Here is a 12,583-nt window from a genome sequence, read left to right on the forward strand (position 1 = left end):
ATTCCTGAGACATTGGTCTGACAATGACAGTTCTCAAAATTCTCAGCCTCAAAACAAACAAAAACTCAATTTTCAGAAATACAAGATGCAGCATAAAAACTCATTAAATAGGGCCAACTGAAGGAAGTCTGAACTTGTGAAAATTCTGAATATTCAAAAGTTATTCCAGTCCTTTAATACAAGCAATTGGCTAAAGAAACTACTCATTAGACTTCCTCAAAGATTTGCTTTAGTAAATGATTATTTCTAATTAGTATACTTTTCTACCATTTACTGCTGTTAAAAATTTGAAAATGGGTTGTTTTCCCAAATAGGTTAAATAGGTTAAATGCCTCTCTTGACCTCGGTCAACTTATTTATAATCTATTATTTGCCTACGCTTCATTATACCTAAGGTATTTATTCAGGCAGTGAGAGTTTACAGAAGTTAAAACATAGGGAGCCTTGGTCTTAGAATTAGTCAAGTGAAGGCTATGTCCTTCTTTTGTCTTAGTAATGTTTCCATAAATCATTAAATACAAGTTGGTGTGTAGGAAGTGTGATAATTATTCAATGCAGTTTTCATAAAGTTCAAAAAATAATATGTATTAACGTAAGACTTTCTGAGTGGTTAAGGATTGTGGAGGGGTGTATTCCAAAGCTGTGCTTTATAATTTCAAGCCTATCATACCTCATACAGTTAAGATATCCCTGGACACATCTATTTATGATTAAACATTTTTTAAAGAGCAATAATGGTCCTCCTTTAGTCACCAATACTCTTTCAGTAAAGCAAAGGTGTTAAATCAGCAGAATCAATGTCATTGCCATGAGTAAAGAATGTGATGACATTCTTGTGCAACCAAACAAAAGTGTGATAAGAGGCTGAGATAAATAAGAAAAATGTGTTTTTCACTTCGAAAAAAAGTATTTCAAAGTGAAAGGTGCTGTTAATACTAGTTTGTGAAGCATAAATGCCCAGTAAGTAGCTTTTACCTTTTTTGTTAAATTTTATGACTTTGGATATTTTTAAACTTGTACGTACAAATGTATATAATCATAGGCTAAGCTTAAAATAAGTTTTGACTTTCCTGTAAGGCAAATCTAGAGTAGTAATACATTTTTAATAAAATGTAAATTTATTTATGTATATTTAATTTGGGTTTGAGAGTTTTTCAACATTTATTTTAGATTCAGGGGGTACATATACACATTGTTACCTGGTTATATTGTGTAATGATAAGGTTTGGAGTACAGTTGATCCTGTCACCTAGGTACTGAGCATAGTACCCCACAGTTCATTTGTCAACCCTTTCCCCCAACCTCCCTCTCCACTCTAGCAGTCCCAGTATCAATTGTTGCCATCTTTATGTCTATTAGTACCTGTTGTTTAGCTCCCACTTATAAGCGAGAACATGTGGTATCTGATTTTCTGATACTGCATTAATCCATTTAGGATAATGGCTTCTAACTGCATCCATGTTGCTGCAAAGGAAATGATTTTGTTCTTTTTTTGGCTATATAGTATTCCATAGTGTATTTGTACCTTTTTTTTTTTCATCCAATTCACTGTTGATGGGCACCTAGGTTGATTCCATGTCTTTGCTATTGTGAATAGTGCTGCAATTAACATGCGGGTGCATGTGTCTTTCTGGTAGAATAATTTGTTTTTTGAGGATATATGCCCAGTAGTGGGATTGCTGGGTCAAGTGGTAGTTCTGTTTTAAGCTCTCTGAGAGACCTCCAAACTGCTTTCCACAGTGACTGAACTAATTTACATTCCCAACAGTGTATATATGCTTATAAGCATTCCCATTTCTCTGCAGCCTCACCCAAATATTTTTAAATTTTAATAATAGTTATTCTGACTTATATGAGATGGTATCTCGTGATTTTTGATTTGCCTTTCTCTGGTAATTAGTGATGTGGAGCATTTTTTCATGTTTTTTTTTTTTTTTTTGCTGCTTGTATGTCTTCTTTTTTTTAATTGTATGTCTTCTTTTGAGAACTGTCCATTCATGTCTTTCTTTTGCCTATTTTTAATGGGGTTATTGGTGTTTTACTTGTTCAATTGTTTAAGTTCCTTATAGATTCTAGATATTAGACCTCTGTCAGATGCACAGTTTGTGAATATTTTCTCCCACTCTGTAGGTTGTCTGTTTACTCTGTTGATAGTTTCTTTTGTTGTGCAAAAGCTACTCAGTTTAATTAGGTCTCACTTGCAATTTTTGCTTTTGTTGTCATTGCTTTTGAGGACTTAGTCATAAATTTTTCCCAAAGTCAATGTCCAGAATGGTGTTTCCTATGTTTTCTTCTAAGATTCTTATAGTTTGAAGTCTTACATTTAATTCTCTGATCCATCTTGAGTTAATTTTTCCATATCAAACAAGGTAGGGGTCCAGTTTCATTCTTCTGCATATGGATAGCCAGTTATCCCAGCACCATTTATTGAGTAGAGAGTCCTTTCCCCATTGCTGATTTTGGTTTACTTTGTTGAAGGTCAGCTGGCTATAGGAATGCAGCTTTATTTCTGGGTTCTTTCTTCTGTTCCATTGGTCTATGTGTCTGTTTTTGTACCAGTACCATGCTGTTTTGCTTACTGTAGCCTTACAATATAGTTTGAAGCCAGGTAATGTGATGCTTCTGGCTTTGTTCTTTTTTCTTGGGATTACTTTGCCTATTTGGGCTCTTTATTACTTTATTACTTCCATATGAATTTTAGAATAGTTTTTTCTGATTCTGTGAAAAATGCCATTGGTAGCTTCATAGAAATAGCATTGAATCTGTAGATTGCTTTGGGGAGTTTGACCATTTTATTATTCTTCCAATCCATGATCATGGAATGTTTTTCCATTTGTTTCTGTCATCTATGATTTATTTCAGCAGCGTTTTGTAGTTTTCTTTGTAGAGACCTTTTACTTCCTTGGTTAGAGGTGAAACCAAGGGGTGTGTGTGTATGTGTGTGTGTACTGTAAATTAGGCTATGTTCTTCATTTGGCTCTCAGCTTGAACATTATTGGTGTAAAGATATGGTACTGATTTTTGTACATTGATTTTGTATCCTGACACTTTACTGAAGTCATTTTTCAGTTCCAAAAGTCTTTGGCAGTCTTTAGGGATTCCTAGGAGAGATAGTTTGACTTCTTCTTTTCCTATTTGGATGCCTTTTCTTTCTTTCTCTTGCCTGATTGCTCTGGCTTGCACTTCCGGTACTGTGTTCAACAGGAGTGGGAAGAGTGGGCATCCTTGTCTTGTTCCAGTTCTCAAGGGGGATGCTTCCTAAAATGTCAATTTGAAAGCCTGATTTTTGTCTTTGACTTTGAACACTGAAAGACAATCCAGAGAACTAGCAAATTTACATTTAAAAACCTGCCTTTTAAGTTTTTAAAAACTATGAATTTAAAATTGCTTCTTTTAAAATTGGGTTTTAAATTTTTGATTCTACAAGAAAATTTTCATTCAACAAGCACTTAGGACCTGTTCTGAGTTTCTTCAGAGCCTTTCTTAAAAGATAAGGCACATATTGAAGGTAGAGTTATTAAGAATGAGAAGGTGGAGAAAAAATAAAAATAAATAAATAAACAATGCAGCTCTCATCCAAAATCCTAATGGCCCAAAAAAGCTACAAAAAAAGATGCCTGAGAGGCCACCCCTCCTTTCATATTAAAAAGCTATAGTGATTTGTAGAGTCAGAGCTTAACAAATCACCCTATTCTTCATCCTTTCCTTCACTAAGTTGTCAGACAGATGCAGAATAGAAATCAGCAATGTGAAATTGTGGTTTCTCAACTGAATGAGGAATTTTTCACCATGACTTTAATGTTCCTCTGTCATGGGCCCTAATGGGAAACTACCAAAAGTTATAAAATTCGATTATACTATGGGAATCCACAGAAGGGGGTAAAGAGAAAGCAAAGGCAAAAAAGAAATGTCTTTATTTTGAACCCTAATCATTTATTTAAAAGCTGTGTCTCATCTAAACACAGAACAATGGGATAGGGAAAGCTCCTGCTTCCGGATCCCTTTTTCAGAAGCAGCTTCCTAGCTTCTCTCTGGAAGAAAGGAAAGATGATAGGGCTAGCCCATAGCTTCTCAGCCTTGGCAACATTGACAATTTGCACTAGGTAATCTTTTGTTGTGAGGAGGTACATTATAGAATGTTAGTAGCATCCCTGGTCTCTACCCACTGGATGCCACCAGCGCCACTCCAGTCATGACAATCAAAATATCTCCAGACACTGTAAAATTGCCCCTGGTTGAGAAGCATTAGGCTAGTTCCCGCACAATTTTTTTTTTTAATTTTTCTTTAGTTCTTTAAGATCCTTTCAAGTGAGGGAATGGACTGCCACAGTCAGCAACAAGATGACTGGCAAACTCTTGTCTTCTGGAAACTTTTTCCTACTATGGCATATTTTATTATTTTGTCAGAAAATCCATTTCTATACCTCTCTTAATACTCCATTTAATATTTCTTAAAGATAATACATTTAAAGACGTAAAAGAAGATAAAAGAGAAACATCCTTAGAACTAGGCAACATAAGACCATTCTACATTAATTCATCTTACCTCCATAGGAAACTGTCATAAAAAGCACCCAAAATTTAAAATAGTAAAAGAGAGGTTAAAACCCACCTCAATACACAGATAGTAACAAACAACAAGGAATAAAACCCACTATTATTCTTCCATCTTAAAAAAGCAAATCTTTTTTCAACTCCACAACTCCCATCCCCAGCCATATCATTTCTTTGCTCCCTTTAAAGCAAAACCCTTCAAAACAGTTAACTGTGCTGTCTTTAATTTTCCTCCTCTTCATTCTCTCTTAACCCACTTCACTCAAAGCATCATTGCCACCACTTCACCTGGGCTGTCTTTGACTTTCATATTAATTAATTAAGGTCTTCAATGACTTTCATATTAATAAATACAATGGCCATTTCTCAACCCTGATCTTACCTGACCTATGGGCAGCGTTTGACACTGTTGATTATCATTTTCCTCCTTGATACACTTTCTTCCTTGGTTCCAAGACCCCACACCCACTTCTTAGTCACCAGTTGCTCTTTCTCAATCTCCTTTACTGACTCCTCCCCTTCTCACTTATCTCTTAATAATGGAGCAGCCCTGGGCTCAGATCATTTCTCTCAATCTATACTCAATTCCCAGTGAGTCTTCCAGTCTGTGATCTTAAATACCACCAATGTTCTGATGAATTCCAAATTCATATGATCAGCCCAAGCCTCTCTCCAAGACTCCAGACTTACATATCCAGCTTCCTACTTGTCATCTTCACTTGTATATCAAATAAATATTTCAAACCCAAATGTGTCCAAAACTAAACTTCTGATCCTTCCCCATAAACTTGCCCCTTCTACAATCTTCAAATAGTAGTTGATGCCAAGTCCACCTTCTCTTAGTTGTTTAGGTCAAAAACTGTGCATTAATCCATCACTCCTTTCTTTCTCTCACATGAAACATCCTGTTAGTTTTTAAAATTATATAAGTTCTACCTTAAAAATATATTCAGTATCCTTCCATTTCTCATGTTCACCACTGCTTCTACCCTGATAGATGCCACTATCATCTCTCAACTGAATTATTTTTTATAAGCAACTTTTTATTTTAAAATATTAATTGACAAATAAAGACTGTATGTATTCAAAGTGTACAACATGATGATTTGGTATATGTACACGTTGTATAATAAATAATTATTACAACCAAATTTAATAACACATCTGACATAGTTTGGGCTGTGTCCCCACCCAAATCTCATCTTGAATTGTAACTCCCATAATTCCCACATGTCATGGGAGGGACCCAGTGGGAGGTAATTGAATCATGGGGGTGGGTCTTTGCCATGCTGTTTTCATGATAGTAAGTCTCATGAGATCTGATGGTTTTATAAAGGGGAGTTCCCCTGTACATGCTATCTTGCATGCTGCCATGTAAGATGTGACTTTGTTCCTCATTCACCTTCTGCCATGATGGTGAGGCCTCACCAGCCATGTGGAACTGTGAGTCAATTAAACCTCTTTCCTTTATAAGTTACCCAATCTTGGGTATGTCTTCATTAGCAGCATGAAAACAAACTAATACAATATCCATCACTATCTATGCTGTATATTATGTCCCCAGAACTTGTCTTATAACTGTAAGTTTGTACTGTTTGACTAGTATCTCCTCACTTCTCCCACTCCCCCAGCCTTTGGCAACCACCATTCTACTCACTGCTTCTATGAGTTCAATAATTTTGGATTCCACATATAAGTGAGATCATACAGTATTTTTCTTTTTGTGCCTGGTTGATTTCACTTAGTATAAAGTCCTCCAGGTTTATCCATGTTGTTGTAAGTCAATAGCAAAAACAAAACAAAACAAAACAAAAAACAAAAAAAAACAAATAACCCAACTTAAAAATAGGCAAAGGAACTGAAAATATATTTTTCCAGAGAAAAAGATATGGAATCAACCTACGTGTCTATCCACAGATGAATGGATAAACAAAATGTGAGGGGTATGTGTGTGTGTGTGTGTGTGTTGTGTGTGTACACAATGGAGTATTATTCAGCCACCAGAAGAAGAAAATTTTTAAAGAGTTATTGCAAAAGATTCCTTACTAGTCTTCTAGTTTCTCATTACCCCTACATATTGGCTCGATATTCTCAACACAGTCGCCGTAGCAATTATTTTAAAATGTAAGTCAGATCATATTTTTCCTCTGTTCAAAATCTGAACTGGTGCCACATTTCCCCAGAGTAAAAACCAAAGTCTTAAAACTTTCTAAAAAGTTTAATATAATTTAGTCTTCCCTCATCTTTCTGACTTCATTTTCTATTTCTATCCCCCTTACTAATTCCACTTGGTCTTCTTTCTGTTAGTCAAACATACCAGGTATATTTTCACTGTAGGGTCTTTGCTCTGGCTTTTCCTTCCTTCTGGAAGTCTCCTCCCCTTCCACTGCTTCATGTCCTTCAATATTACCTCGTCAATTGGTCCTACCCTAACCACCCTATTAATACTTGCAGCTGGCCCACCATCATCCCATGATTAGCAATCCAAATCCCCCTTACTATGCTCATTTTTTTTTCTTTCTGTCATGGCACTTTTCAATTTTTAATATCAACAATGTATTCATGCTTATTATTCATTGTTTGTCTTCCCTATGTATAGTGTAAACCTCATGAAGAATTCATTTTGTTCCCTGATTTATCCCAAGCATGCTTAGAATAGTGCCCAGTACATAGTAAGCGATTGATTAACACTTATTGAATGAATAGAGAACTACATGAACGAATAAAATAGATTAATATCCTACTCTCAAGTAGAAGAGACGGCAACCTTCCTTTCTTAAATCCTCTTTCTCAGTCTCCTATTTATACCTCAAAGGACTAACTGGGCTGGGAGGAGGAAGGGATTCTTTGGTAAGGAGGAATAGATAAATACAGCTGGAAAGGTTTTTATTTGAATATTTTAGGGTTTCATTTCTTTGGGTTTTTTCTTTTTTAATTGGCAAGTAAAAATTTATATATTTATGGTGTGAAACCTGATGTTTTGATATATATACACATTGTGGAATGGCTAAATCAAGCTATTTAACATATTCATTACCTTACATTCTTATTTTTGATGGTGAGAATAAAAGATTGTAGATTTTAAGAAACTTTCTATCTTCTTAGTTTGGAGGACTGTGAAATCTTGTGCTGTTGGGAGATTTTAGGGCTTTTGTATTCTCTTTATCACTCTGATTTTTGGTTCGGTAGTGCTTCAATTTGGAAAGTATCTTCTAAACTAAATGAACTAGAGGAGCCAGGAATCAGTACTCAAAAAAGCAGAGGAGAAAGCAAGCTGCTACAAGAAACTCAAGGGAAACAAGAAAAGAGAACTTCAGGGTTTCAGCCCAATTCACTAAATAGGAAAGAGGGCTAAGATTCAAGATCAGTGTTGGAACTAGTAACAAATATTACATTTCATGATAGAGGTGCAAAAATAATGAACCACAGGTATATTCATGATCTAATGTTATGTAACCTATTACCCCCAAATTTTAGTGGTTTAAGACAAGAGTAAGCATTTATTATATCTTATGGTTTCTGTGATTCAGGAATCCAGAAGCAGCTTGATTGGATAGCTCTGGGTCGGGGCTATCATGAAATTCAGTCAGATGTTGGCTGAAGCTACAGTCATCTGAAGGCTTGACTTGGTTGCAGGGTCTGTTCCCAAGATAGATCACTCACATAACTAGCAAGTTGTTGCTATTAGCAGGAGGCCTCAGTTCTTCCCACACAGAGCTAAGATTCAAGACTTCTATGCAAGTCAAGAAATACACACACACACACACACACACACACACACACACACACATAGTGAAGTCTGAATATAAATTAGGAACTGAGCTCTTCTTCTCTCTCCATAGGTATATACATATACATACATATACCTATATACACATAGATATCCTGGAGAATTATTTAGAGAGAGCAATATTTCTACATCAGCTCCCTAGGCCAAGTAAGGTGACCCAATGGACTTCACTTTTCTAAAAAGTGCAGTTATACTTATGTATCTTCTCTTACTATTCATCAAAATACCGACAATATTTTGGGCTGAAATGTTAATAATATCTGTATGAACCTCTGCTTCAAAAAATAATCCAAGGGATCCTTGAGTATTTTTAAAACATGGCATCTGGTTTCCCCAAAATGAGCAACATAAGAAAGCAAAGAATACAAAAGAACAAGGCAGAAGCCATAGTGTATGTCTTTATGATGTAGTTTTCTGCTGTACAGTACTGATCACATGGTCAGCTGTGATTCATTTTGGAAGGGGAGTATGAACAGGTGTGAATACCAGTAGGTAAGGATTCCTAGAGATGTTATCAACATCTCAGCCCGAAATATTGTCGATATTTTGGTGAATATTAAGAGAAGATACATAAGTGTAACTGGACTTTTTAGAAAAGTGAAGTCCATTGGGTCACCTTACTTGGCCTAGGGAGCTGATGTAAAAATACTACTCTCTTTAAATAATCCCCCAGGATATCTATATATATACACACACACACACGGAGAGGAAGTGCTCAGTTCCTAATTTATATTCAGACTTCACTATATATATGTGTGTGTGTGTGTGTATTTCTTGAGTTGTATAGAATACGTACTTATGAATAACAAACTTGACCAATTTTCCTACAGACATAGACTTCTTGCATTTAGCAGTATCACTCACCTCTTACTCCATCATTTCTTCAATAACTCCATCAACACTGAACCTTCTAACTCTAACATGCTACGATTCACTACTGTGAAAAAAAAGCTGATGTCATAAACACATTGTGTTCCAGTATCACTAAGGGCCATACCCCATTCTTAGGTAATCCCTGAGGTCCTACTAGCCTTGCTAGCCTCAAAGGAGTCACTTGGAGTATAAAGAGGGGGAGGAGACTGAACAAAGTCCTGGAGCTATAGTATATTTTTTCATTGTTAATCCTTGGCAAAGAAGTAGGTAGTTTGGAGGTGGAAGTAGGCCATGATTACCTTTAAAATAATCTACTATTATTTGTGTCTTTCCTGAATATCATAGCACCTTCTTGTCACAAATGCTTAGGGGAAAGAAAATCATCCAATATACCCCATATCCCACTTACCAACATCTCTACAGTAAAATGAGACCCAAGAGCATGATTTCCTTAACTAGCTATCAAGCAACTACCTCCAACAAACAGCAGTTATCATTAATATGTTCATGCTATTTTCATTTGTGAGGTCTGTAATCCATCAGAACAACCTGACAGTGATTAAGTAAAATCAAAGAGACTTTGTAAACATCTGTGTGCTTTTATTGTTACAAATGCTTCATTATAAAAAGATCAGTCAAAAGCATAAAAGTACCCTGGTTTAAACTTTTTCTGTGTTTGAATGAGAATGTTTCTCTTGGAACATGCTCATATCAGGCTTCCACTTGGCAAAATCACGAATTGGCTGATGTTGTTTTAGAGGCTTTCTCATGTCCCCTTCCAAACATCACTCTTCTCCTTCTGTGGACCCCTTTCTGTTATCTAGGAGCCCCTCATGCTGCCTTCCACATTCTGCCTACTGCACAGTCATGTTCTGGACCCCTCAGAATCCCCCTCTACCATTACAATATGTTTTTCCTAAGACTTACTTGCATTGAAAGGCTTGCCAGGGAAGTGACTAATCTTATCATCTTGTACTAAATGTTAAATTAATCCTCATTCTCTCTAGAATTGTTTTCTAAGCAGGGATTCCTAGAGATGCTATCAATATCTCAGCCTGAAATTGCATAGGTATTCTGGTGAATAGCAAGAGAAAATAACGTGAGTATAACTGGACCTTTTAGAAAAGTGAAGTCTATTAGGTCACCTTAGTTGGCCTAGGGAGTTGATGTAGGAATGCTCCTCTCCCTGAAATAATCTTCCAGGAGAGGAATGTATCCCCAAATAGCAAGTGAATATCCAATGGCTTCTCATTGCACTTAAACTCTATATTCCTTTTTATGACCAAAAAGGCCTGGCTTCTCCCTAACTGTCTCTTCCTTACACATTACACCTCTTCCTTTTGTATGTGAATGTGCCAAGCTACCACCTCATTTCTACCTTAAGGCCTGAAGTGTTATGTTCCAGTTCTTGGCATGCAAATTACTCTTCATCACTTGTTTCCCGACACAAATGCCACCTTTCCAGACAATCTAAAGTAACCTCAAAATCATTTGCTCGCACATCACTTTGTTTTATTTCTCCTGGTATTAATCACTATGTGAAATTTTCTGGTTCATATTATTTGTCACCTGCTTCTTCCAGGCCTCCTCTTACTTCATTGTCTATCATGTTCATTACCGTATCCCTAGTGTTTTGCACAGAATCTGGTACATATTCAGTGCTCAATAAATATGTGCTAAATGAATAAATGAATAAATTAACCTAAACATAAGTTTTACACTTAAGTAATTGAGCAAGAAGTCTTTGTTGTACTAATATTGGAAAAGGCAGGGGTGGGGGTGGTGACGTGATTATAACCAATGTAACCAGCTTGCATTTATAAGACTTGTATTGATTATGAACTATAGCATTTTTTCGTTAAAAACATTATCAATATTGGATTGTAAAAGATTCCATTGGCCTTTCTGAAAGACTGTCCTTTTGATGAGATGTCACAAATGAATGCTAATGTCCCTTGAGAAATCCTGCCAACAGATCTTATTCTTCTATCAATGTTAAGAAACTGCATTTCTCTTTGGCCAATTTCTAGGCTTATGGATAGTCTCTCTTGCTAGGACTTCAGAAGCCAATGAGCAACTTGCCTGTCACAAGATCCGACGAATGATCTCTCCCTGCATGCGGTGTAGCTAAGCAGAGAAGCAGCTCTTGTAAGAGAATAACCAACACAGCATGGAATATTGCTAAATCTACAGTGTTTTATCCAGCAAAGTTCACCCCAGTAGCCTGCCCCTGCCAATAAAGCCTAGAAATTTTTCCTACCAGGCAGTCCCAGTTTAGTTGGTTGTAGCTTAGAAGCAGACATCTGAGAGCAGTTCAGCAAGCCTGCAGTCAGATGCTTTTGTAGAGCTCTCCTCTTAAAAGGCAAAATTGAGGCAAGTCAATAGATTACAACTTTCTGGGTTTGCTTCTGTCATCTATCAAATATCACAATTCATCCTGCTTCGCTAAAGTGAAACTCCAAGGATTTGTTTTTAAAGGTGTCCTTCTTTCTGTGAAATACTAAATGAACTTGTTTTAAAAAACAAGAACAACTCAACACAAGTTGATAGGAGCTAAGTAACATAACTTTTCCTTTAAGAAAAACATGTAGCATGAGAAAACCTTATTTTTAAAGTACTACATAAAATTTATTGAGACCACATGTCGTAAGAAAGCTTGATTATTAATCCTTCCAGAGAAACTGTTAACACTTAACTGCTATTCTTCAATTATTTCACTATCAAATTAAACTTATTCAAGAAAATACAAATGATTCCATACTGACCTACAAAACAAAAACTTTTTGGTGTTTTGAGGGGACGGAAGAATAAAGGGGAGGTGTCTTTTTCATCAAATCTCTTATATGAGCTCATTTCATCAATCTAATTGTATCTTTTTGTGCTTCTGCCAAGATTATTAATTTCAAGGGTAAGATTTTCTCTGGCTACCATGTACTGTAAAACTGTAAAATTTTTTCCACTCTTCATGGACCATTTACAATCTGCAAGGTTTGGGGTGGGAATGAAATGTATTTCTGCCAATGGATAGCCACATCAGCAGTGCTGAAAACCAATCCTTCTGTTTCACTCATCGTGCCATATGGCTCCATAAAAAAGGAGCGAACCAAAAGTGTAGCTCATACGCCTTGTCAATCTGGGCTTAGACTAATTATTTGATATTATGATAAAGAGAGGAATCTGTTTGTAGGTGAATATATTCTCTCTTCTTTCTTTACTCGTGTATCTCTATACCCATGCGCTAATTTATGGAGGGGGGGAATCAGAGGTTTAAAGCCCCTCTAATTTTACAGGAGCTATAATATTTTAAGAAAAGGCATTGCAATAAAATTGTCATACATAGGTTATAATTTTTAACAACAAAAAGTC

General features: G+C 36.1%; 1 protein-coding gene across 11 annotated transcripts in view; it reads right to left on the reverse strand.

Annotated features, from left to right (window-relative positions):
• The window catches only part of SLC44A5 (solute carrier family 44 member 5), a 521,887-nt gene that overhangs the window by 399,703 nt on the left and 109,601 nt on the right, over nt 1-12,583 (reverse strand). For 4 of the 11 annotated variants that reach the window (NM_001130058.2, NM_001320287.2, NM_001320285.2 and 1 more), the window contains exon 1: nt 9,209-9,283. The exons of the other annotated variants lie outside the window; for them this stretch is intronic. The gene's annotated coding sequence lies outside the window, so the exon portion shown is untranslated. Of the gene's footprint in view, nt 1-9,208; nt 9,284-12,583 lie in introns of those variants that run through there. 11 annotated transcript variants of the gene reach the window in all.

The sequence above is a fragment of the Homo sapiens genome, chromosome 1 (assembly GCF_000001405.40).
Source record: "Homo sapiens chromosome 1, GRCh38.p14 Primary Assembly".
NCBI classification, from domain to species: Eukaryota; Metazoa; Chordata; class Mammalia; order Primates; family Hominidae; genus Homo; species Homo sapiens.